Raw genomic sequence first — 26,682 nt, 5'->3', positions numbered from 1 at the left:
GATGGAATATAGCCTTTTTTTTTTTTTTTGAGACGGAGTCTCGCCCTGTCACCCAGGCTGGAGTACAATGGTGAGATCTCGGCTCACTGCAACCTCCCCCTCCTGCATTCAAGCAATTCTCCTGTCTCAGCCTCCCGAGTAGCTGGGATTACAGGTGTGTGCCACCATGCCTCGCTCATTTTTGTATTTTAGTAGAGACAGGGTTTCAGCACATTGGTCAGGCTGGTCTCGAACTCCTGACCTCGTGATCCACCTGCCTCGGCCTCCCAAAGTGCTGGGATTAGAGGCGTGAGCCACCACGCCAGCATTTTTTTTTTTTTTTTAAGTGACAGGATCCCAGCCTTGGCAACATGGTGAAACCCTGTCTCTACTAAAAATACAAAAAATTAGCTAGGCATATTGGCGTGCACCTGCAGTCCAGCTACCCAGGAGGCTGAGGTGGGAGAACTACTTGAGCCTGGGAGGGCGAGGCTGCAGTGAGCTGTGATCATGCCACTGCACTCCAGCCTGGGTGACAGAGTGAGACCCTGTCTCAAAAAAAAAAAAAAAAAAAAAAAAGAAAGAGACACAGGATCTTGCCCTGTTGTACAGGCTGGAGTGCAGTGGCATGATGACTGGTTTGCTGCAACCTTCAACTCCTTGGCTCAAGCAGTCCTCCTGCTCAGGTGCCTAAGTAGCTAGGACTACATGCATGTGCCACCATGCATGGCTAATTTTTGTAGAGGCAGGGTCTTGCTATGTTGCTCAGGCTGGTCTCAAGCTCCTGGGCTCAAGCTGTCCTGCCACCTTGGCCTTCTAAAGTGCTGGGTTTACAGGCGTGAGCCACCAATGCCTTTTTGACCCCAGAGCTCATGATCCTCCAGTTACCACATGCTTGCTTTTTCTCATTACGTGCCAACCACAATACTTGCTCTATGTTGTTGTATTTTCTTCTCACACAATGATTTGTAATTGGTATTGTTAATTCCTAGGTTGCAGATGAGGAAGTAAAGCTCAGAGAAGTAACTTGCCAAATATCACACAGCCAGTAATTGTCAGGAAAAAATAATTCTCAAATTCATGTATTGCCTTTGTGTAATATATTAATATCAACAGTCAAATGTTTAATCACAGTGAACTGATTACGCATTCATCCTTTGTCCTATGGATTAGAGTGGTGAATGTAACTTTCTGGTATGAAATAAAATGCTTAAGAAATTTGAGAACACTTGTGAAAGTGAAGTGAAACCTAATTGTTAAGACTATTAAGTCTCTATCATCATCACTAGCTAAAGAAACCACAAATTTAATTCTTTAAGCAAAACCAAAATAATAATTCATTAATTTGTTAATTATTTCTTCTTTCTATACATATTAGCTGACTTTTGTCCTATTCTTGCAAATCCTCTACCATTTTGGCTGGTAGCCCAGTAAGCTGTTGCCTATTTATCTGATGATTCTCTCACCATTCTATTGGGAAGAAACAGAAAATCATATCAAAATCGATATGAGAACTCTGAGTAAAATAGCATGTTACCAAAACAAAAGTATATACCTTTTAGCTTTTTAGAGAAGTACCTATTTTCCCATTAAAAACAAAAAGTAATAGCCAAAACCAATGTCAAGAGTGGGTGTGAGGCCAGATGCGGTGGCTCACTCCTGTAATCCCAGCACTTTGGGAAGCCAAGGCGGGTAGATCACCTGAGGTTAGGAGTTTGAGACCAGCCTGGCCAACATGGTGAAACCCCATCTCTACTAAAAATACAAAAATTAGCCAGGCGTGGTGGTGCGCACCTGTAGTTGCAGCTACTCAGAAGGCTGAGGCAGGAGAATTGCTTGAACCCAGGAGGCAGAGGTTGCAATAAGCCAAGATCATGCCACTGCACTCCATTCTGGGTGACAGAGTGAGACTCTATCTCAAAAATAATAGTAATAAAGAGTGGGACTGAGAGGTGAGGAGAGTACAAATGAACAAAAAATCAATAAAAAGAGGATTTGTACTCTAAAATAAAAATCTAGTTTGTGGGGATTTTATCAGAAATAGTATCCTTCAACAGTGCGTTTAAAATTCTTTCTTTTTGTGCAAAATTGCAACTATAATTATAACGTTTTAGTCTTTGGCTAAAATGTGGTTGCCTTTGCATCTCATACAGGGCCAAAAGAAAAAATTAGAAGCATTGGAAAAACTGCACAGTGACTACAGGATGTCCTGTTGCATTTATCTGAGTAGACAGACCCGTGACTCACTATAAAACTTGACACGTCGGAAATGGTTTTATTGTGCATGGTACTTTTCTCTTCACAAATATTAAACACATAGATTTGAGGATAACAAGTTATATTTGTCCAAATATAAAGGTGTCTGCTATAATTCTTTTTGAAGTGAGAAGTTAATTCTATGCAATGATAACTCAGAAAGTATACACAGCATCCAGTCAAGCCTTATCTCAGAACTCTCAGAAACTCTCGTAATTACCCCTTCTTAAGTAGATGATAATAAATGATATGAGGAAGATGTCTCTTGATTAAATTGATATATTTTACCATTGTTTGGCAAAGTCGGGGTAGCACTCGCTCTATTGAAAAACCTCTTTAGCCTTGAGCCATACAAAAGTGATACATTGCAAAAACTCATCAGTAATCTAATAATAATAATAAGAGCAGCTTCACATGAAAAGGAATGGCAACACTTTCACATTGTGATAAAGCAAAACAAATTCCATGCATTCAGTTTTCTGAATCCTTTAAAAAAAATAAAATAAAATGAAGAACACATACATCTGTTATCTTCCTCTTTTTTTTTTTTTCTTTTTTTTCAGAGACAGGACTTTGCTCTGTTGCCCAGACTGAAGTGCAGTGGTGCAATCATAGCTCACTGCAGCCTCCAACTCCTGGGCTCAAGCGATCGTCTGGCTTAGCCTCCTGAGTAGCTGGGACTACAGGTGTGCACTACCACACCCAGCTGTTTTTGTTTACTTTTAATTTAATTTAATTTAATTTAATTTGCTGCTGTTTTGTTTTTTTGTAGAGACAGTGTCTCCCTATGTTGCCCAGACTGGTCTCAAACTCCTGGCTTCAAGTGATCCTCCTGTGAAATGCTGGGATTACAGGTGTGAGCCATTGTGCTGGGCTGCTTTCTTCCCTCCCCTCCCCTCCCCTCCTCTTCCCTCCCCTCCCTCTCCCCTCCCCTTCCCTCTTCTCTTTCTTTTTTTTTTTTTTTTGAAAGGGAATCTCATTCTGTTGCCCAGGCTGAAGCGCTGTGTTGAGATCTTGGCTCACTGCAACCTCCACCTCCCAGGTTCAAGTGATTTTCCTGCCTCAGCCTCCCAAGTAGCTGGGATTACAGGCACACGCCACCACACCTGGCTAATTTTTTTTTTAGTACAGACAAGGTTTCGCCAGGCTGGTCTCAAACTACTGACCTCAAGTGATCTGCCCACCTTGGCCTCCCAAAGTGCTGGGATTACAGATGTGAGCCACTGTGCCCAGCCTCTTTTTTGTTTTTTTAATATCGGTTTACACCATCTTATTTAGGGAGCCTAAAATGTCTCCTCTGCATAAATGCTTCCCAATTACCTTAGCTCAAACAATCTTTTTCCTTTCAGTGTACATTTATTGCCAAACAACTCTTTAAAAAAGAAAAAGAAACAAACAATTTAACAAAGAAAGATTTCCCTTAGTCACTGGGATTGTTAAATGATAATATTTGGCCCTAGTTTCTTCCATTTTTCATCCTTACGCAAACAAATATTGGCATATTTGTGTGTGTGTGTTTGTGTGTATCTGTACAGGTATGTGTGTGTATGTAGAGTGTGTGTTTAGGGGTGTAGGGATGGTATTTGTATGTGTGTAGGTATATGGTATTTTGTGTGCAAATACAGGTACGTGTGCAGAGCTGTGTGTATGGAGTGTGCATACAGGGATATATATATACACACACAGGTGTATGTAGAATACCTGTGTGGGTAAGAGTGTGTGTGTGCAGGGCTGTGTTGTGTGTAAGGGTGTTTGTATGTGTGCATGCAGGAGTGTTGGCATGCAAGGATGTATGTGGGAGGTGTTATATGAGTATATGTAGGTTTGAGTGCATGCAGATACCAGTGTATGTGTGTAAGGATGTGTGTGTGTGTGTGTGTGTGTGTGTGTGTGGAGTGTAATGTCTGGGAAAGAAGTTTTGAAAAGTGGGCCAGCCATGGGAAAGGATTGAGGTGAAATTAGAAAATAAAGGTGACAGGTGGGAGGCCAGATTGTGCAGAATCTTCGATATGGAGGCAAGGAGTTGACATGCCATTTAATGAGCAGTGGAGAGTCACTGCTGGTGGCTGGCAGGGGCAGGGAGGGGACTGATTATCAGAATCATCGTGGGGCATCACTAGGGTTGCACTATTCCTGGGCATTGAGGGTTTGGATTTCATGGGGTTGGGGTTCATAAGACTGGCCTGAGGATTAAATTAGATACTACACATAAAGGACTTAACGTAGCTTGGCTCATGGGAACTTCTCCAAGGAGAAGGAGAGGAGGTAGAAGGGAAGAGGAGAAAATACAGGGACTTGCAAGGAATGGTTCACTTGGGTAGAGAAAAGAACTTTGCATTCTGTTTTCAACCTTTCAAACCATTCCTACTGTGTCTAATTCAGCCTCAGAGTCTGAATGCCTCCAGTCTGCGTGGAATAATACTCAATATAACTCATACTCAAGGAACTCCAGAAGGGAAGGAAATGCCCTTCTATTCACGTGGGATGGCACTCGCTGCCCATCTTGGGTGGAGTGTTGTCCACTCAGACTTTGTCTTCCAGCCATGGCAGGTGAGGGGCAGCTCACTGATGGGGGGAGGAAATGCAAATACAACTGCAGGACAAAGAGTCCGGCTCCACAACTCCACATCAGCCCTATGTGCAAAATGAAATAAAAAGAAAGAATGACAGCTGTGTGACTTATCATATCAGGATAAGGATAGGGGAGTGTTTGTCCACAGGAAATGGACTGTAGTTCCTCCAATTTCTACCTTATGCTCTTATAGCAGTTACTTTATCTTTTATCTATTGTTATGGACTGAATGTTTGTGTTGTCTCAAAGCTCATATATTGAAATCCTAATCCCAGTGTAATGGTATTAGGAGGTGGGGTCTGGGAAGGTAATTAGGTAATGAGGGTGGAGCCCTCATCAATGGGATTTGTGCCCTGATGAAAGAGACCTCACTAGGTGCAGTGGCTCACTCCTGTAATCCCAGTACTTTGGGAGGCCGAGGCGGAAGGATTACTTGATCCCAGGAGTTCAAGCCCAGCCTGGGCAACATAATGAGACCTTGTCTCTTTAGCAAAATCATAAAATGAGGCAGGAGGATTGCTTGAGCCCAGGAGGTCGAGGCTGCAGTGAGCTGTGATTATGCCACTGCTCTCCTACCTGGGTGACAGAACAAGACCTTGCTTCAGAAAAAAAAAAAGGAAGAAAGAAAAGAAAAGAAAGAGACCTCAGAGCTCTGTCCCTCCCTCTTTCTGCCAAGTGAGGACACAGCAAGAAGACCTGGTGCATCCTAGAGGCAAGGTGCCCAAGTATTTGCATACATTATCTCTTTTTCATTCCCATATTTATTCAACGTGAAGTTATTGTTAAGTGTTTGCTGTGTGCCAAGTGCTCTGACAGGTAGAAATGATCCCCGTTTTGTAGCAGAGGAAATGGAATGTCGGTGAGATTGAGCAACTTGCCGCTAACAACACAGCTGGCAGGTGAGAGTGCAGCTCACAGCCCAGCTCACAGCCCAGCTCATCGACTGAGCACTCCCCCATCCCACCCCACCCCCAGCTTGGTCAGCTGACCTGATGCACAGAAACTTTGTGAAAAATCTGTCCTGACAAACAAAAATTAGCTTTGGCCAGAAGATCAAATAACACACTTGCACACTTGTGTTATCCAGTGTGAAATGCAAATGAATGTGGTGACATCCCCAAACAAGACACCTCTGCAGCTGCCTTTATAACATTATATAATATAATGTTATAGGGTAACAGTCTCTACACTACATACTGCCTCCTTAGGATACAGAAACCCAAGCGGGAGGGAATACTCTTTGGTCTTTTTCAAACACCGTGACACAAGGAGAAAAGAGAGACTAGGAAAGAAAAGAAACAAAGTATCTGGTTAACCATCAAATCAAGCTATAAATTCATTAGAAGATAATTTTTTTTCTAAAAATAACTTTCTGGTTGACTTTGAGGTTGCTGACAAGTTTCAGTCTAATGAATACTAGTTTCTAAAAAAAGTCAGATGAAAATAAATGAAGAAGAAATTTTGTTTCTGATCTGGTTTAAATGTTTTTTTTAAAAGTGAAACTTTGGATTAAATGTAGAACTGGCAATACTGTGAAACAAAGAAGACAATTTTTGAGAACTTGAACTCTCTCAGTACTGTATCTGCTTAGCTTGAGGGTCAAAGTAATAAATTTTTAATAAATTAACAAATTATAAGAGGACACTTTTCAGGATATTAAATTTATTTATTTATTTATTTATATTTTTTGAGACAGGGTTTCACTCTTTTGCCCAGGCTGAAGTGCAGTGGTGTGATCATGGCTCACTGCAACATCTACCTCCTGGGCTCAAGCAATCATCCCACCTCAGCCCCCCAGGTAGCCAGGACTACAGGTGTGCACCACCATGCCCAATTAATTTTTTTATTTTCAGTTGCCCAGGCTGGTCTCAAACTCCTGAGCTCAAGCCATCTGCCTGCCTCAGCCTCCCAACGTTCTGGGATTATAGGTGTGAGCTACCGTGCCTGGCTAAAAGTAAAATTTTAAATTATAAGTTGACTATAAGCACATTATACATACCATGGTAAATAAAGCTGCCGCTGGCCTGAGGATGTCCTGGAAGGGAAAGAGGTCATGAATTGAGGGTGAGCTCGACCCACTGCACAGTTTAGACTGGGCTCCCCACTCATCGGGGTGGGTGGGAATCATAATCTTGTTTGTTTCTTAATTTTTGTTATTGTTTGCTTCTTTTAAGCCTAGATCCTCTGGATTTAGAACACACAGACTTTTGCCAAATTGCGTGCTGATTTTTCTGGTAAACCAAATGTTATAAGCTGAGTAATGTCTGACTAAAATTCCTATGTTGAAGTCTAACCCCCGGTACCTTGGAATGTGACCGTATTTGGAGAAATGGCCCAGTCTGCGATACTTTGCTGTGGCAGCCCTAGAAACCAATATGCCAACCAACCCATAAACAGACAAAAAACCAGGAAAGAACTAAATGCACAGGATTCCAAATCCAGTGGCAGCATCTCCCCTATCATGTCCTTCTTCCAGGATAAAAATACACAGATGGAGACACAACTGTAAATGTAGTGCATGTACAGACACACCCTCCCTCTGCTCACAAGGAGGCCCTAGGAGATGTTGCACCTCAATCAAAATGAACACCCAGTGCCCAGGTCTTGACTTCTAAGAAGATACAGGACTCCCTGGGGAAGAGGCCAATGCTAGGGCTGGGGCCAGGAAGGTACAAGATGAGCTTGGAACACCCAGTTGAGGCTGAAAGTGAGGACTCAAAACATGATGGGAACAGTCCCAAAAGCATACCAGGGCTACCCTAAAAAAGCTCCCACTTGCCAAAGCTGGGTCAATTTAACCAGCTTTGGTTAAATTATAAAATAATGTAAGTAGCAAATTATAATGGAGTGTAACCTGTAGAAGAAAATACAAATCATAAGTCTATGCTGACATTTACTTCTATTTATTTATTTATTTAGAGACAGAGTTTTGCTCTGTCGCCCAGGCTGGAGTACAGTGGCGTGATCTTGGCTCACTGCAACCTCCACCTCCCAGGTTCAAGAGATTCTCATGCCTCAGTCTCTGGAGTAGATGGGATTGCAGGCACGCAGCACCATGCCTGGCTAATTTTTTTTTATTTTCAGTAGAGACAGGGGTCTCGCTATGTTGCCCAGGCTGGTCTCCAACTCCTGGTCTCCAATGATCTGCCTGTCTTGGCCTCCCAAAGTGCTGGGATTACATGCATGAGCCACCGCGCCTGGCCTGTGCTGACATTTAAATGGGAAGCTTGATGAGGAACAGAATACTTACCTACTTTCAAAGCTTCTCTTCAGAAAATACTTAGTTATAAAGGGGAAAAGAGTTAACCATTCAGTGGAAAAACCTGGCCGACATCAATTTCAAGGGGTCAAAATAATCATCAGACAAACTGGTATTGCTACCATCTTCTAGGACACACAGAAAGACATGGCATCACCAAGGAAGCAGAGCCTGAGTCAATCATAAGAAGAAGCATCAGACAGGCCTGAGTGAGGGACTTTCTTCGAAATAACTGACCTGTAATCTTCCAAAGGTCCCAGGAACTGTCCTAGTCTAAATGATACTGAAGAGATCTTCGCTCAATGCAATGCCTGACTCTGATCTGGAAGTCTTGCTCTAAAGGACATGGTTGGGACAACTGGCAAAACCTAAAGGGTATCTGAAGATTAGATGGAAGTAATACATCAGTGTTAATTACCCAATTTTTATCCTTGTTCTGTGGTTTTGTAGGAATTGTGTAGAAAGTATTAAAGGGTGATAGCGTTTTAAAATAGGATTTATTTATTTATTTATTTAGAGACAGAGTCTCCGTCTGTCACCTAGGCTGGAGTGCAGTAGCACAATCATGGCTCACTGCAGCCTCTGCCTCCCAGGCTCAAGTGATCTTCTAGCCTCAGCCTCCTGAGTAGCTGGGACTCCAAGGCATACTCCACCATGCCTGGCTAATTTTTGTGTTTTTTGTAGAGATGGGGTTTTGCCATGTTGCCCAGGCTGGTCTCCAACTCCTGGACTCAAGCAATCCTCTCACCTCAGCCTCCTAAAGTGCTGGGATTATAGTTGTGATCAACTGCACCTGGCCAGGTTTCATTTTTATTTAGGTATAATGAGGGCAACAGATCAGGAGACAAAGAGTTTTTTGGCTAGGTGCAGTGGCTTATGCTTGTAATGTGTTCTGGGAGGCCAAGGTGGGAGAACCACTTGAGTCCAGGAGTTTGAGACCACCTTGGTCAACATAGCGAGACCCCAGCTCTGCAAAAAAATTTTTTAAATTAGGGCAGGCGTGGTAGCTCAAGCCTGTAATCCTAGCACTTTGGGAGGCCGAGGCGGGCAGATCACAAGGCCAGGAGTTCGAGACCAGCCTGACCAACATGGTGAAGCCATGTCTCTACTAAAAATACAAAAATTAGCTGGGTGTGGTGGGGCTTGCCTGTAATCCCAGCTACTCAGGAGGCTGAGGCAAGAGAATCGCTTGAAACCGGGAGGAAGAGGTTGCAATGAGCTGAGATTGCGCCAAAAAAGAAAAATTAGCCAACTGCCAGGCATGATCACTCATGCCTGTAATCCCAGCACTTTGGGAGGCCAAGGCGGGCGGATCACCTGAGGTCAGGAGTTCGAGACCAGCCTTGCCAACATGGCAAAACCCCATCTCTACTAAAAATACGAAAATTAACCGGGCAACAGAGTAAGACTCCATCTCAAAAAAAAAAAGAAAAGAAAAAAAGAAAAGAAACAAGAGAGAGAATAATTTCCGACTGTACCCACTTTCTCTGCTATATTTAACTTCTGGAGGGCAAGGAGAATGTCTTGTTCACTCTGCATTCCCCAAGGGCTCAGAACTTTCAAACACATAGCGTGAACTCAATAAGGGTTGAACAAAAGAGTGAATGCATCAGTGAGAAAACGAAAAGGTCAGGCCAGGGGCAGTGGCTCACACCTGTAATCTCAGCACTTTGGGAGGCCGAGGTGGGCACATCATGAGGTCAGGAGATTGAGACCATCCCGGCTAACACGGTGAAGCTTCGTCTCTACTGAAAAATATAAAAATTAGCCGAGGCCGGGCACGATGGCTCATGCCTGTAATCCCATCACTTTGGGAGGCCGAGGCGGGTGGATCACGAGGTCAGGAGATCGAGACCATCCTGGCTAACATGGTGAAACCCCGTCTCTACTAAAAATACAAAAAAAAAAAAAATTAGCCGGGCGTGATGGCGGGCTCCTATGCTCCCAGCTACTTGGGAGGCTGAGGCAGGAGAATGGCGTGAACCCGGGAGGCGGAGCTTGCAGTGAGCGGAGATCGCACCACTGCACTCCAGCCTGGGCGAAAGAGCGAGACTCCGTCTCAAAAAAAAAATTCGCCTAGCATGGTGGCATGCTCCTGCAGTCTCAGTTACTCGGGAAGCTGAGGCAGGAGAATCGCCTGAACCCAGGAGACGGAGGTTGCACTGAGCCGAGATTGCGCCTCTGCACTTTAGCCTGGGCAACAGAGCAAGCCTCTGTCTAAAAAAAAAAAAAAAAAAAAAGGTCTTGCTGTTCACTCTGTGTGGTTAGCTCCTGACCAGTTTCTGTTCTCTCTGTTCATGTGGTGGACAGTTTGGTGTCACAGCTTGGGGTTTTCTCCTAAATCACAGTCTACTTAGTTTTTCAAGATTCTCTAGGCTGGGCGAGGTGGCTCACGCCTGTAATCCCAGCACTTTGGGAGGCCGAGGTGGGCAGATCATCTAAGGTTGGGAGTTCGAGACCAGCCTGACCAACATGGAGACACCCCGTCTCTACTAAAAATACAAAATTAGCCGGGTGTGGTGGAGCATGCCTGTAGTCCCAGTTACTCAGGAGGCTGAGGCAGGAGAATGACTTGAACCCGGGAGGCAGAGGTTGCAGTGAGCCGAGATTGTGCCATTGCACTCCAGCCTGGGCAACAAGAGCAGAACTCCGTCTCCAAAAAAAAAAAAAAAACAAAAAACAAAAAAAAAACAAAGTCTCTAGCAAGTACAAGAGGTCAAATTGTAAAACTGTCGTAACTCTGATTCTCCCTCTTTCTTCTTTTGCCACTGGACATTTACTTAGACCCTAAAAAGTACAAAATCAGATTTAATCTTATGGGTGTTAATAGCAGCCTTTCATTCTGTTCTGTACTGGACAAGTGGCCATAATTTCTCAAATGAGAGTTAGCATTTGGCAAACAGAAAATTTTACATTAGTGAGCCTAGGAGTTTGAGGCTGCATTGAGCTATGATCATGCTAACCTGGGCAATAGAGTAAAACCCTGTCTCAACAAATAAATAGATAAATAAATAAAAATTTTATTTTATTATTGTTATGATTTTCTTTTGGAGATGGAGTTTCACTGTCGCCTAGGCTGGAGTGCAGTGTCACAATCTCGGATCACTGCAACCTCTGCCTCCCAGGTTCAAGTGATTCTCCTGCCTCAGCCTCCCACTAGCTGGGACTACAGGCATGTGCCACCACACTCAGCTAATTTTTATATTTTTGGTAGAGACGGAGTTTCTCCATGTTGGCCAGGCTGGTCTCGAACCTCTGAACTAAGATGATCTGCCTGCCTTGGCCTCCCAAAATTCTGGGATTACAGGTGTGAGCCACCACACCTGCCCATAAATAAAATTTTAAAAGAAACATTTTAATTGGGACTTTCTGTCACATCTGGTCATCGTATCACAGGAGCTGCAGTGGCGTCTCTTGCATATGCTATGGAACAGAATCTCCGTGGAGCAGGGAGGGCTGCCATGAGACCAGCTTTGAGGCTGACAGAAGGAGGAAGGGAAGGTGTGCCCAGGGAGGGACATCATGTTCCGTTCCCAGTGACCAATCCTCTATGGGTCTTGAGGATGGTTGTGGACTGAGGGAGAAGGGGGAGAAGAAGGAAGGACACCCCCAAGCTGAATGGGAAAGAAAAGGAAGCCCTGGGGTCAGAAAGCCATCTGGCTGGGACCCTGCTCCCTGGTCGGTTACTGTTCAAAGATGACCATAGGTTGGGACACGGAAGACAGCTAATCAGGGGCCCTTGTGCCACCCTCAGAGATACCAAGAATGACAGAAACTGATGAATGGAATGTTGTATGAGGGGCGGGGTGTGGATAGATGATTTTGTCACTTTAGAGGCATTCATGGAAGGTAGAACCATAATGAACTATGTAGGAAGTTAAAGAGTGCGGAGATGCAAGAATATTTGAAGGTGAGGCCAAAGCTGGGTTACTCACCAGGCAGCCTGTGCAGGTGCACGGGCCATGAGCAAAGTAGGGAGGGGCAGAAAGAAGGGAAATAGAAGGTGGGAAGCAAGAGAGGGAAAGCATTACCTCGAATTTAACAATCAGAAAATCTAGGCCAGGCAAGCGGGCTCACGCCTGTAATCCTAGCACTTTGGTATGCTGAGGCAGGAGGATCTCTTGAGCCCAGGAGTTCAAGACCAGCCTGGACAACATACCAAGACCCTGTCTCTACTTAAAAAAAAAAAGAATATCTAGAATGAAGGTATGTTGTTTCAGCATACATATATTTTTGTATTTTATGGCTTATTCTTCTATCCCTTGGGTTTTGCCCCACATGTGAAGTGTGCTGAGGGGCAGACCAAAGGAGAAGGGAATGCAGCCACCAGGGACAGACCCTGTCAGTGAGGGAGATGTCCACCTGTCTGACCTGGCAAGGCATGGTTTATGTTTACAAAGGTCAGTTCAGGCTGGGCACGGTGGCTCACGCTTGTAATCCTAGTGCTTTGGGAGGCTGAGGCAGGAGGATCACTTGAGCCCAGAAGTTTGAGACCAGCCTGGGCAAGGCAACATAGTGAGATCTTGTCTCTACAAAAAATAAATTTCAGTTTGGCCTTTCAATCATTTCAAAATAGAACTTTACACCTGGGATACAGGTTTTAAAAAATATTGGAAAAGCTTCACTGTCTTCAAGACTTTGCAAAATTAAACAGCTACTTGAGAGGTGTTATGATCTTTGTCTAATTTGCCTTGTCTAACTGTTGCAGGATGTGTGTGATTATATAACTAGGAATGTGAGACACTATTCCTTGAAACAATTTTTGGGGAAAAGCTACAGCCCTGTGGTGACTGAAAACAGACAGCAAGGTAGCATGTCCTGAAGACACACAGGGCAAGAGAGGGCTGGCTGGCAGACCTCCCTCTGTCACTGCAGCCATCCTGCAGGCTCCCCATTGAGGAACCAGTTCCTCCAAGAGACTTCCACATTTTCCTGGAGATTCCACATCCCCACCCCACCCCTACCCCACCCCTACCCCACCCCCACCCTGCTGTCAGCCTGGGGGTTGGGAGACTTCTGGTAGGTCCTGTGGCTGAACTTGAGCTGGGCCTAATCCACTTTACTGCGCTCTCCATGGAAGGGCCCTGCAGGGTAAGCAGGCTTAGGATTGGCTGGCTTGGATGATTTCAGGGGCCTGGGGAATATGGGCTGTTCCATAGTTGTTTGGTCCCTGGCCCTGGGTGATTAGAACAGGTACATAATGGCCCCAAGTGTGAGAGCCCTTTAATAAAGGAGGTGGCGGGGAGAGGGCTCTGGATTGGATGCTGTGTTCTTCTCCATGTATGACCAACTGCAGCCTCTCCCAAAACCTTAGCAGATGGTTTGCTTTGTGCTCCATTCCGGAAATAACTTTTGGCCACTTGGAAAGGAGCCGGTCAATTATCAGGAGCCATCTGTATTTGGGTGTTGCTGTCTGTTTCCTCACGCTTCTATGACCAGGAACTGCCTCGGCCTGTGCTGCGCTGTCTGTGGTCGGTATAAATCTAGTTTCCTACAGTCTTTTCAGACTATACTGCTTTAATAAATCTACAGCTGTCTTTATACCAGGTCCAAATAGGTAAATGAAAAGTTAAAACATTTAATCAGGCCAGATGTGGTGGCTCACGCTTATAATCCCAGCATTTTGGGAGGTCAAGGCGGGTGGATCACTTGAGCCCAGGAGTTCGAGACCAGCCTGGGTAACATAGGGAGATCTCCTCTCTAGAAAAGAATAATAAATAAATAAATAATTTTAAAAAGAAAGCTTTTTTTTGGAGATGGAGTTTCGCTCTTGTTGCCCAGGCTGGAGTGCAATGGCATGATCTTGGCTCACTGCACCCTCTGCCTCCCAGGTTTGAGCAATTCTCCTGCCTTAGCTTCCCAAGTAGCTGGGATTACAGGCACCCACCACCATGCCTGGCTAATTTTTGTTTTTTTTAGTAGAGACAGGGTTTCACCATGTTGGCCAGGCTGGTCTCAAACTCCTGACCTCAGGTGACCTACCCGCCTTGGCCTCCCAAAGTGCTGGAATTATAGGCATGAGCCACTACACCCGGCAAGGAAATATTTAATCAGATTTTTTGGTAGACATAATGGACCATTCAGATGTTCCCAGACGCCCAGCTATTCAGCATCATGTAGATGCATCCTAAGAGGAGCTTGTTGTCCTAACAGCATGTCAGTTATCTCTCTGTCTCTTATCATCAGGCATTCTAACCCCCTAAAAGGTAGAGAAAATCTTATCCCATGGGCAAGTCATAGTAAAAAGATTACACTTTATGGGCACCAAAAGAATATGAAGTTAATTTTCCTCCTTTATATGCACCAAAAAAATATGAATTAGATAGCCCAGATGTGGAGGCTTGTGCCTGTAATCTCAGCTCTTTGGGAGACTGAGGTGGGAGGATTGCTTAAGCCTGGGAGTTTGAGGCTGCAGTGAGCTATGATCCAGCCACTGCACTCCAGCCTGGGCGAGAGAGTGAGACCCTGTCTCTAAAAATACTTTGAAAAATGAAAACAGTACAACTTAGACAGAAATCCAGACAAGGCTAGAGCCGAGATGCCTGCTCCTTGAGGTCGCCATTGCTCTCCTAAGCTCTGTGCCGAAGGATGTTCCGAGGCCCTGTGGCTCTTCTACGTAGACACGCACAGGCTATGTAGGTAGAATGGGGTCCTTAACTATCCAGCAATAAACAATCATCCTGGATGTTGCATTTTCCTCAGAAAAGACCTGAAAGGGATATGGAGTTTGAGTGGGGGAAGGAGATGTTACAATCCTCATGGTAGGGCTTTGGAGATTATGGAACAGTGAAGCCGGCCTGTAAGGGGCAGACCATTCCTCCCTTGTAGATTGTAGCTGATCACTGCCGTCTATCTGATTGGCTGTGAATGAGGTGACTGCCTCCAAATGAAGAGTAGAACAGATCGGGAGGTGGGGGGCGCAATCAGAGGATTTTTGTCCCTGTGGTTCCAGGAAGTAGGCACATTGCTGAAGAAGGCCAGGCAGGAGATAAGGCCATTGTTTGAGCAGCAACATCCAACAGAAATATATCACCAGCCACACATGCCATTTTTCATGTTCTTTTCTTTTATTTTTTTGAGACAGGGTCTTGCTCTGTCACCCTGGCTGCCAGGCTGGAGTACAGTAGTGTAATCATAGCTCACTGCAGCCTTGAACTCCTGGGCTCAAGTGATTCTCCCACCTCAGCCTCCAAAGTAGCTGGGAATACAGGCATGTGCCACCTCGCCTGGCAAATTTTTAATTTTTTGTAGATACAGGGTCTCAGTATGTTGCCTAGGCTGGTTCATTTTTCATGTTCTAATAGCCATGTTAAAAAAGGAAAAGAAGTGGCCGGGAGCGGTGGCTCATGCCTGTAATCCCAGCACTTTGGGAGGCTGAGGCGGGCGGATCATCTAAGATCGAGAGTTTGAGACCAGCCTGACTAACATGGAGAAACCCCATCTCTACTAAAAATACAAAAAAAAAAAAAAATTAGCTGGGCGTGGTGATGCATATCTGTAACCCCAGCTACTAGGGAGGCTGAGGCAGGAGAATTGCTTGAACCTGAGAGGCAGAGGTTGTGATGAGCTGAGATCACACCATTGTATTCCAGTCTGGGGAACAAGAGTGAAACTCCATCTCCAAAAAAAAAAAAAAAAAAACGGAAAAGAAGCGCGGGCCGGGCACGGTGGCTCAGGCCTGTAATCCCAGCACTTTGGGAGGCTGAGGTGAGCGGATCACAAGGTCAGGAGTTCGAGACCAGCCTGGCCAGCATGGTGAAACCCCGTCTCTACTAAAAAATACAAAAAACTAGCCGGGCATGGTGGCATGCACGTGTAGTCCCAGCTCCTTGGGAGGCTGAGGCAGGAGAATTGCTTGAACCCGGCAGGCTGAGGTTGCAGTGAGCCCAGGTTGTGCCATTGCACTCCAGCCTGGGCAACACGGAGAGACTCCATCTCAAAAAAAAAAAAAAAAAAAAAAGGAAAAGAAGCTACTTTCATTGTACCATATATTTACCCCCAAACACCTAAAATATTATTATGAAATGTGTTATTAATATAATAATAATTTTTTTTTGGTAGAGATGGAGTCCCACTATGTTGCCCAGGCTAATCTCGAACTCCTGGGCTCAAGCGATCCTCCTGCCTCAGCCTCTCAAAGTATTGGGATTACAAGCATGAGCTACCATGCCTGGCTAGGAATTATTAATATTCATATATTTTACACTCATTTTTTGTACCATTACTTCAAATCGAGTGTGTGCTTTCTTTTTTTTTTTCTTTTTTGAGATGGAGTTTCAATCTTGTTGCCCAGGCTGGAGTGCAATGGTGTGATCTTGGCTCACTGCAACTCTGCCTCCTGGGTTCAAGCAATTCTCCTGCCTTAGCCTCCCAAGTAGCTGGGATTACAGGCATGCACCACCACACCCGGCTAATTTTTTTGGTATTTTTAGTAGAAACGGGGTTTCTCCATGTTGGTCAGGCTGGTCTCAAACTCCCGACCTCAGGTGATCTGCCCGCCTTGGCCTCCCAAAGTGCTGGGATTACAGGCATGAGCCACAGTGCCCGGCCCTGAGTGTGTGTTTTTGTCTTGGACTGGCCACATGTTGCCCTTAGCTGCATGTGGCTTTAGCTGTCCTTACAGGCAGGCTATTCCAGGGGCAGAGGTGACCACCCTTGTAACCCTGAGCTTCCAGCTCCTCTTCTGGAAGCAGAAAGCAGAGACTATGTCATTAGTACTATCAGAAACCTGGTTCTTTGGACTGTAGTTACGTTTTATTTTTGACGAGGTCTTGCTCAAGGCTGGAGTGCAGTGGCATGATCATAGCTCACTGCGGCCTCCAACTCCTGGGTTCAAGTGATCCACGCACCACAGCGTCCCAAAACTCTGGAATTAAAGGCATGACCTCTGCGTCCTGGCCTGTAATTACTCTTTAAGTAGTTCCTCCTTTGGTTGCCCTCCTTTTTGTTTTATAAATGCCAGGCTGCTGTGTTGTGCTGAGTAAATCTTGGGAGTTCATTGTATGAACTTTTCATGGGAATACTTCAAATAATGTAGAGAGAAGCAGCCTCGGGCTGCAGACATGCTGGGTGGATGAGGAGGGAATCCCAGAGAGACACACTGGATTCTGAGCCTCATTGGAGGTTTCCTGGCCCCTGCCTACTTGGGGCTCTTCCAGCATTTTCAGTGGAAGCCCAGGAGAGCAGCCAAATCAATGCCCTTCCAGGAGATCAGATAAGTGGGACATGGAAATAGAGGAACATGGAGGGAAAGGGGAATAAAATAAATGGTAATTGATGGAAGATAAAGACCCAGAAACAGCAAGCTTAATAGTAACACAAAGCCAATAGAAGCCACATGCCGGGACTGCTGCTCAATGTGGCACAAATAATTCAGAGTATGCTACAAACCACTGGAAAGAAAAGAGAAAGGTAGATCAATAATTATAATCATCAAAGGTAGATCAATAATATATATAATAATACATAATAAGATCAATAATTATAATAAGTGCGGTGGCTGACACCTGTAATCTCAGCATTTTGCGAGGCCGAGGCAGGTGGATCACAAGGTCAGGAGTTCGAGACCAGCCTGGCCAATATGGTGAAACCCCGTCTTTACTAAAAATACAAAAATTAGCCAGGCGTGGTGGTGGACCCCTGTAATCCCAGCTACTGGGGAGGCTGAGGCAGGAGAATCACTTGAACCCGGGCGGCAGAGGTTGCAGTGAGCTGAGATTGTGCCACTGCACTCCAGCCTGGGTGACAGAGTGAGACTCTGTCTCAAAAAAAAACAAAAAAAACCACAATAATAATAATAATTACAATAAAAGAAACCCTCTTGAAGGGCAGAGCAGCCCCCTGGGCTTTTCTGGACCATTCAGTGTGAATGAACACAGGGTGACCTGGCAATTGCAAAACACCTAGGATTATTGTCACCAACAATAAAGGAAATAATTATACTAATCAATTGTTTGAGCAAAGCTTTTGACACCTCCCCCGGTAATCAAAAATAGGCTCACAGGTAATTTAGTGTATAAAAACAAAACAAACAAAAAATATAATCCTAGAAAGAAAATCCTTTTGTCCAAACTTCATTGCAGACCAGGCATTTGAAAACGTCATAAACTGTAAACAGCCATTTAAAGTGCTTCTGGGGAGCAGGCCTTGGGATGAGAGCACTTTTTTGGAAAACAGCAATTTAGAACTGAGGCAGCTTGCTCAGAAGTTCCAATCCAGCGAAAAGCCCCCAGTCGCTAGCAGAGCAAATGGAGACCTCCTGCCCTTTTGACTTCAGCACCGGGACTTGCATGCAGGTCTGTCAGTGAGCTTTCCTGCAAACCTCAGAGAAGAGCTCAGGTTCCGACAATGCCCTGCCCTTCTCCCCAGGAGAAGCTTCCCTTGGTTTGTGGAGTTTTTCTCCTCTGTTCGTTCCGCAGAACTCCCCTGAGTTCACATTCACGGGGAACAACAGAGCCTCGTTAAGCGAGTTACAATGGGAAGCTGGCAGGGATGGCCGGGATACCGTGATATCCCACTGGGGTTTCCCTTTGAAATCTTCCTATGGTCTGAGACCAAAAACAGCAATCAATGAGATGACTGGAAGGAAGAGAAGCTGCATGAAAGGCATTCAGAAACCTACACTTATCTCCTGGGGCCCCCACCCTGTCCCTTGAAGCCATCACAGGGTTCTCTGGAGAGTGTATGGCAGTTGGAGCCACTATCTTCCTCCTCACTATCTCTCCAACCCTGCCCCGATTCCTCATGACTCAGCCTGAGGCGGGGAGATTAAGAATTCAGACTGTGGGCCGGGCGCGGTGGCTCACGCCTGTAATCCCAGCACTTTGGAAGGCCGAGGTGGGCGGATCACGAGGTCAGGAGATCGAGACCACGCTGGCTAACATGGTGAAACCCCGTCTCTACTAAAAATACAAAAATATTAGCCGGGCGTGGTGGCGGGCGCCTGTAGTCCCAGCTACTCGGGAGGCTGAGGCAGGAGAATGGAGTGAACCCGGAAGGCGGAGGCTGCAGTGAGCAGAGATTGCGTCACTGCACTCCAGCCTGGACAGAGGGACAGAACCAGACTCCGTCTCAAAAAAAAAAAAAAAAAAAAAAAAAAAAGAATTCAGACTGTGTAATTACCCCTTTGTTAAAACATATTGCTACACATTTCACGTATATGTGTAGATGTATATAGGTTTTACTTTAATTATGCAAAAAAGCGTCCACTTCTTATCGGTAAAATATTCTACATCTGCACATGGAGACAGATGCTTAATGGAAAGGGATATGGGATCATTTTTTACAGCCCACAGACACTTTGATTTCTTGCTCAGAGGACTTCATTCACTCAGTGCCTTTCATGAGGTCAACTTTGTTCTAGATACCTTGCTAGGCGTTGGGGACACAAAGATGACTCTCGCTCTATCTGGGTGGACGACAGCACTTCATCCACCAACAGAAGGGCCCGGAGAGTTTTAGGGTTAAATGTGCACGTTAGGGCCGGGTGTGGTGGCTCACACCTGTAATCCCAGCACTTTGAGAGGCTGAGGCAGCTGGATCACTTTAGATCAGAAGTTTGAGACCAGCTTGGCCAGCATGGTGAAACCGTGACTCTACTAAACATATAAAAAAAGTTAGCCGGGCATGGTGGCTTACACCTGTAATCCCAGCTACTCAGGAGGCTAAGGCAGGAGAATTGCTTGAACCTGGGAGGCAGAGGTTGCAGTGAGCCGGGATCACACCACTGCACGCTAGCCTGGGCGACAGAGAAAGGCTCTGTCTCAAAAAAAAAAAAAAAAATGCACCTTAGATAAAGTAAAAATAAGGTAGGTGTGCTGTTGCATTGCAGATATACCTAGAGAGGTACATAACATATTTTTGGTGAGGTTGGAAAGATAAAGGTAGGGTAATTACAGAATATAGTAGAAACTTCTAAGCTAGAAGTTGAGGAGCAGTTTTGGATTTTTGTTTTAAGATGCAAGGTACTTAAGATCAGGTGCTAGTGACTGAAGCTGGACATCTAAAAGGTAATTTATTTTTTATTTTTATTTATTTTTTTTTTGAGACAGGGTCTCTCACTGTCACCCAGGCTGGAGTGCAGTGGTGCAGTCATAGCTCACTGCAGCCCCAACCTCCCGGGCTCAGGGGATCCTCCCACCTTAGCCTCCTGAATAGCTGGGACAATGCCTGGCTAGTTTTTGTATTTTTTGTAGAGACAGGATTTCGCCATGTTGACCAGGCTAGTCTTGAACTCCTGAGATCAAGCAATCTTCCAGCTTTAGCCTCCCAAAGTGCTGGGATTACAAGCATGAGGCACTGCGCCCAGCCAAAAGGTAATTTAATAATAACCACAAGGTCATCCAAATTAGAAACAAGACAAAACAATGCAATGAGGGGTGGGGGGCAACGAATTTGAAAGTTCTTTAAAAGCATCAGCTATCTTCCTGAAGGTTATGAAACCGCCTTTGCAAAATTATAACTGAGACAATGAAAGAGATCTAACTTAACCGACTCCATCTTGCTTCTAACCTCCAAGCTGTCTTTGTTCATTCCTGGGCATTGGCTGAACCAACTTTGGGAGAAACTTAGTTTGTAGTTTATAGTTTGTTTATTTATTTATTTGGAGACAGAGTCTCACTCTGTCGTCCAGGCTGGAGTGCAGTGGCATGATCTCAGCTCACTGCGCCCTCCACCTCCCAGGTTCAAGCCATTATCCTGAATCAGCCTCCCGAATAGCTAGGAGTACAAGCATGCACCACCACACCCGGCAACTTTTTTTTAATTTTTAGTAGAGACAGGGTTTTGCCATGTTGCCTAGGCTGGACTCAAACTCCTGAGCTCAGGAAATCCACCCGCCTCTGCCTGCCAAAGTGCTAGGATTACAGGCATGAGCCACTGGGCCCGGCGGTTTTTTTTTGTTTGTTTTTGTTCTTTTTTTGAAGAGTCTTGCTGTGTCGCCCAGGCTGGAGTGCAGTGGCACAATCTCGGTTCACTGCAACCTCCACCTCCTGGGTTCAGGCAATTCTGCCTCAGCCTCCTGAGTAGCTGGGATTACAGGCGCACATCACCACGCCCGGCTATTTTTTTGTATTTTTAGTAGAGAGGGGGTTTCACCATGTTGGCCAGGCTGTTCTGGAACTCCTGACTGTGATCTATAGTTTAAACAAAGACGGCAACAGCCCTTTCCCAAAGCAGACCTCCTTCTTGCCTGGGGACTAGATTGCCTTTGCAAGACTAACATTAGTCACAGGATTAGAAATTATGGTTTAGGAGTCTTGCAGCTGGAGGCTACAAGATTCTGACCCTCCCTAAACTGCTCCTGAGATCAGTGCTTGAGATATTTTGCAGACCCTGCACTTGATGGATCAGCTGGCACCACCCAGACTGATAAACTGGCTCCTCTGATCTTGTGGCCCCTACGCAGGAACTGACTCAGTGCAGGAACACAGATTCGTCTCCCTGTGATTTCATCCCTGACCAATCAGCACTCCTGGCTCACTGGCTTCCCTCCACCTACCAAGTTATCCTTAAAAATTCTGGTCGCTGAATGCTCAGGGAGACTGATTTGAGTAATAATAAAACTCCGATCTCCCGCACAGCCAGCTCTGCGTGAATTACTCTTTCTCTATTGCAATTCCCCTATCTTGATGAATCGGCTCTGTCTAGGCAGCGGGCAACGTGAACCCCTTGGGCAGTTATATTTAGAGTGTTCTCTGTCTTCAGCATTGTTTTTAGTTTGCATCACCCAACCCTGAGTGGGGAGGGAAGTGGTGCTAGGTCTTCTCAGTGTCTCGGGTGGGTGTGGGGGCTTCCACGGAGGCTGAGATCTAATTTTATTTTCCCAAACACTTAACTATTGGAGAAAAAAAATCCCTTTATTGGCATATAAATCCTTTCTGACTTCAAGTGTTTAGCAGCTACTCTCATTTGTTTACTGAGTTTGTGATGAGAGAAAAGAGGGCTTGCAGCCCCAAAGAAAGGCGGGAGGGACCCAGTAGAGCTGGGGGCTGCCCGCCCCCTGGCCTTCGCATAAAGAGCGCCTTAGCAGGTCTACTGAGAACGGGCCAGCTGTTAGCCAGCTGGTCACTCAGGAGGAAGCCCGGGGAAGAGAGAAGTGAGAACGTTTCAGCCAAGTAACTAAGTGCACAGCCACCCTGACCGTGGCCGGAAAACCGCGAATGGAAAAAGAAAAACTGCCCCGAGAAACTCTGAGAACTTGCAGTAAGTGCACAATATCCGTACCAGAGCTTAATTTCTTTACCTGAACTTAAAAACATGCACATACTTTGTATTTTAATTGCAGCGACCTCTCTCCTGTGCTAGCCCGAGGTCCGGAGTCTTACAAAGGGCTTAGTTGAGAGTGCACGATTTGTGAGTCCTCTTCAACTTGGTGTTTAAGGAGAGCGGGGGTGAGCTCAGTGAATGCGGTTTAGCAGGAGAGCATTTGAATCCCACAGAGGAGCCAGCCTATGCCCTAGTTCTAAGGCGCCTCTGGTCCTGTGTGACCGCGCCCGGGAGGCAACAGCTCTGAGCTCAGTTTCCTCCTCAGCAAAATGTAGCCAATGACGGCGTTGTGAAGCGTGAATGAGATCAGGTCTATGAACGTCACTTTGTAAACCCTTAAAGCACCATTTCAATCTTTCATTAAATATTAACTGAAAGGAGCACTCACATAGAAATGTCAGTGTCTACCCCCAACTAACTTTCCCCTCTTTTCTCACTTCTTCTTTTTCACAGAACCAGGCTACACATCTTGTCATTAAATTTAATCAATAAACATCTAGTGAGTTCTACTCAAGACACTGAGCTAATTGGTTTATGTTCAGCACCGTCAAGAACCTTACCATCTAGTTGGGAAAAACCACACAAAACACATTCGAAGTTTTTAATGGCACTCATGTCAAATTATGAAAGAAGAATGGAAGAGGTCTCTCCTTAGCAAATGATTAATTACTGCGTTAGTCTGCTAGGAGTGCCGTAATAAAGTAGCACAGACGGGGTGGTTTAAACATCAGATATTAATTTTCTCACAGTTCTGGAGGCCAGAAGTCTCAGCTGAACGTGTTAGCAGGATTGGTTTCTCCTGACACTTCCGTCCTTGGCTTGTAGACGGCCATCTTTTCTCTGTCTTCACAGGGTCTTTCCTCTGTGTGCCCCAGTAGCTCCCCCTGTATCCAAATTTCCTCTCCTTATAAGGACATCACTTATATGGGATTAGTGCTCACCTCATTACCCCATTTTAACTTAATTACCTCTCTAAAGACCCTATCTCCAAATACAGTCACATTCTGAGGTCCTGAGGGTCAGGATTTCAACATATGAATGTTTGGGGAGACAGAATTCAGCGCATAATCGTTACCAAACCAGAGGTTTAGATGCTGTCAGGGGAGTTTTCTTACAGAAAGAGCCAAACATGCAATCCTTCTTGGGTGCTTTTGATGACAGGCTGACTATAAGTTAGAGCTATTTGTACTAGTGCTACAAATTTGGCTATCTTCTAGTTAAATAAATTCAATAAATCCTGGTTTATTTTTACGTCTACAGGATATTGTATTAAATATTCAAATTGAATAAAAATATTTAAATCATCATTTGAATAAACTACTTCTCTTGTGAAAAACAATACATTTATTGCAACTTAATTATTTTTATCTTTTCCCTCTCTCCCTCCCTTATTCCTTTGGAATGAGGAGGCCCCGTGGGCTGTGGAGATTTTTGCCCACGAATGGGCTGTGGTAACTACAGCCACAGACTACAAATGCTGAACCGAGGGGTAGGAGAGGCGTGGAACCTCTTAATAGAGGAGGTGGCCCTTAAACTGGGGACCAATAGATTGATATATTCAGAAATTCATTTCTGCCAGATTGTTGTTATGACTGCACAGAAGTTCTCCACTGAGTTTTACATAGCATCTCTACAGTACTTCTACATAGTATTGCTCCACGTGGATGAACCACAGTCTATTTAAAAATCCATGGTTTTGTTGGGAAATTGGTATGGGGGAGTGAAGCACAGGTGCACGTGTTAGGACCCCAAAGATGGTGAACTGTGCCTGAGGAGGGCGAAGCCAGAGGACACTCTGGTGGAGGTCCGTTGCAGTGCTGTCGTGCAAATCCATCGTCCGACCTGGGTATAGGGGTGAAAGACTAATTGAGCCATCTACTAGCTGGTTCCCTCAGAAGTTTCCCTTAGGATAGTTGGTGCTCTCCCAAAACCCAACCCACACAGTTTTATCCAGTAAAGTTAATATTAGAGGTCCTGGGGCCAAAATGATCTCAACCTATTCTCAAACTTTAAATGGGTAAGATTATTATTGTTGTTATTTTTATTTTATTTATTTATTTATTTATTTATTTATTTTTTGAGACCAAGTCTTGCTCTGTCGCCCAGACTGGAGTGCAGTGGCGCCATCTCGGCTCACTGCAAGCTCCGCCTCCCGGGTTCACACCATTCTCCTGCCTCAGCCTCCTGAGTAGCTGGGACTACAGGCGCCCGCCACCATGCCCAGCTAATTATTTGTATTTTTTAGTAGAGACGGGGTTTCACCGTGTTAGCCAGGATGGTCTTGATCTCCTGACCTCGTGATCCGCCCGCCTCGGCCTCCCAAAGTGCTGGGATTACAGGCATGAGCCACCGCACCTGGCCCTTGTTTTTGTTTTTGAGATGGAGTCTGGCTCTATTGCCCAGACTAGAGTGCAATGACGCGATCTTGGCTCCCTGCAACCTCCACCTCCTGGGTTCAAGCGATTCTTCTGCCTCAGCCTCCCAGGTAGCTGGGACTACAGGCACCCACCACCAGACCCAGCTAATTTTTGTATTTTTAGAAGAAACAGGGTTTCACCATGTTGGCCAGGCTGGTCTCGAACTCCTGGCCTCAAGTGATCCATCTGCCTGTCTCAGCTTCCCAAAGTGCTGGGATTATAGGCATGAGCCACCACGCCTGGCCTGAATGGGTAAGATTATTAAAAAAAAAAAAAAAAATCATGGCTTTGGGGTATCTAGGCCATTTTCAACTCTTGACTCAAAAGAGTGCTCAGTGGACATTTATTTATTTTATTTTACTTTTATTTATTTATTTATTTTGAGACAGAGTCTTGTTCTGTCCCAGGCTGAAGTGCAGTGGCATGATCTTGGCTCACTGCAACCTCTGCCTCCTGGGTTCAAGCGATTCTCCTGCCTTAGCCTTCCGAGTAGCTGGGATTACAGGCATGCACCACCATGCCCGCCTAATCTTTGTAGTTTTAGTAGAGACGGGGTTTCATCATGTTGGTCAGGCTGGTCTCGAACTCCTGATCTCGTGATCCACCCCCTCCCCTCCCTTGGCCTCCCAAAGTGCTGGGATTACATGCGTGAGCCACCACACCTGGACTCGGTCTTTTTATTTTATTTTTTTAATTTTTATTTTTTGCGATGAAGTTTTGCTCTTTTTGCCCAGGCTAGAGTGCAATGGAGCAATCATGGCTCACTGCAACCTCCGCCTCCTGGGTTCAAGCAATTCTCCTGCCTCAGCTTCCCAAGTAGCTGAGATTACAGGCATGTGCCACCACATCCGACTAATTTTTGTATTTTTAGTAGAGACAGGGTTTCGCCACGTTGGCCAGGCTGGTCTCGAACTCCTGACTTCAGGTGATCCACCTGCCTTGGCCTCCCAAAATGCTGGGATTACAGGTGTGAGCCACCACGCCCGGCCTCAATCTTTTATAAATGTGAAAACCATTCTTAACTTGCTGGCCATCTAAAAAAACTGTTGGGCAATGACTCAGACTGTGGGCCATAGTTGGCTAATCCCTGACTTAGAAATGAGAAATTTGAAAAATTTACTGCTATGCTCTGCTTAGTTACAAGAAATGGAAGGACGGTTGCTTGGTGCAAGGTATATAAGATATGGCATGCCAGCCACAGGGTGAAGCTTCTTGTTGTAAGTATTTCTAGAGACTGGCGATGGCCATGGGTGAGTCTGGACCTGCTGGGTGCCCTGGCTGCACTGGCCTGTTGCATGACAGCTTTCAACAAGGGCCACAACATGTTTTGAGTGAAAGAACACCTGCCTACAATGCTACCCAGACGCAAAGGCAGAAAGCATAGCAAATGAAATCTTTCCATCCAAGCAGGCTTTTCCGGTAGTGAAACTAAAAAAGCAGCAGTACATACCAATGAATGTTTTAACATTTCTACTTGAGGACATGATACGGTGACCACAGCTGGAGCTTGTCCACCCTGAATGTACAGTGGAAACTAGCAGGCTTCCTAGGCAGGGGAGCTATTCATGAACAAGCCCATGGATGGGGCCCTTAACTGCCCTTCATATTGGCTCTGCACTGAGTCCCATTTCTTTTCTTTTCTTATTTTTTTTTTTTTTTTTTTGAGAAAGAGTCTCGCCCTGTTGCTCCGGCTAGAGTGCAATGGCGCGATCTCGGCTCACTGCAACCTCCATCTCCCAGGTTCAAGCGATTCTCCTTCCTCAGCCTCCTGAATAGCTGAGATTACAGGTGCATGCCACCACACCCAGCTAATTTTTTGTATCTTTAATAGAGTCGGGGTTTCACCGTGTTGGCCATGCTGGTCTCAAATTCCTGACCTCATGATCCGCCCGCCTCGGCCTCCCAAAGTGCTGGGATTACAGGCGTGAGCCACC

At 45.4% G+C, this 26,682-nt stretch overlaps 7 annotated features.

Moving 5' to 3' along the window:
• Nucleotides 18,430-18,989: a transcriptional cis regulatory region, noted in NCBI's record as "candidate enhancer chr8.1663 targeted for multiplex CRISPR interference". NCBI's record gives its function as "positively regulates LYN gene expression with high confidence in K562 cells {active_cell/tissue: K562}" and the evidence as "EXISTENCE:mutant phenotype evidence [ECO:0000015][PMID:30612741]".
• Nucleotides 18,430-19,482: a biological region, named in NCBI's record as "CRISPRi-validated cis-regulatory element chr8.1663". NCBI's record gives its function as "regulatory_interactions: LYN".
• Nucleotides 18,651-19,482: an enhancer, noted in NCBI's record as "NANOG-H3K27ac-H3K4me1 hESC enhancer chr8:56759905-56760736 (GRCh37/hg19 assembly coordinates)". NCBI's record gives its function as "activates a minimal SCP1, AML or CMV promoter by ChIP-STARR-seq in primed H9 embryonic stem cells {active_cell/tissue: H9 hESC(primed)}" and the evidence as "EXISTENCE:reporter gene assay evidence [ECO:0000049][PMID:30033119]".
• Nucleotides 21,860-21,939: an enhancer, noted in NCBI's record as "active region_27379". NCBI's record gives its function as "activates an Ori minimal core promoter by ATAC-STARR-seq in GM12878 lymphoblastoid cells {active_cell/tissue: GM12878}" and the evidence as "EXISTENCE:reporter gene assay evidence [ECO:0000049][PMID:35858748]".
• Nucleotides 22,280-22,339: an enhancer, noted in NCBI's record as "active region_27378". NCBI's record gives its function as "activates an Ori minimal core promoter by ATAC-STARR-seq in GM12878 lymphoblastoid cells {active_cell/tissue: GM12878}" and the evidence as "EXISTENCE:reporter gene assay evidence [ECO:0000049][PMID:35858748]".
• Nucleotides 23,144-23,438: a silencer, noted in NCBI's record as "tiled region #4705; HepG2 Repressive non-DNase unmatched - State 3:PromF". NCBI's record gives its function as "represses a minimal TATA promoter and a strong SV40 promoter by Sharpr-MPRA in HepG2 cells {active_cell/tissue: HepG2}" and the evidence as "EXISTENCE:reporter gene assay evidence [ECO:0000049][PMID:27701403]".
• Nucleotides 24,104-24,398: a silencer, noted in NCBI's record as "tiled region #11739; HepG2 Repressive DNase matched - State 23:Low". NCBI's record gives its function as "represses a minimal TATA promoter and a strong SV40 promoter by Sharpr-MPRA in HepG2 cells {active_cell/tissue: HepG2}" and the evidence as "EXISTENCE:reporter gene assay evidence [ECO:0000049][PMID:27701403]".

Source organism: Homo sapiens, chromosome 8 (genome assembly GCF_000001405.40).
Source record: "Homo sapiens chromosome 8, GRCh38.p14 Primary Assembly".
Classification (NCBI taxonomy): Eukaryota; Metazoa; Chordata; class Mammalia; order Primates; family Hominidae; genus Homo; species Homo sapiens.
Note: the sequence above shows the minus strand (reverse complement) of the source record. Positions and strands in the feature narration are given on the sequence as shown.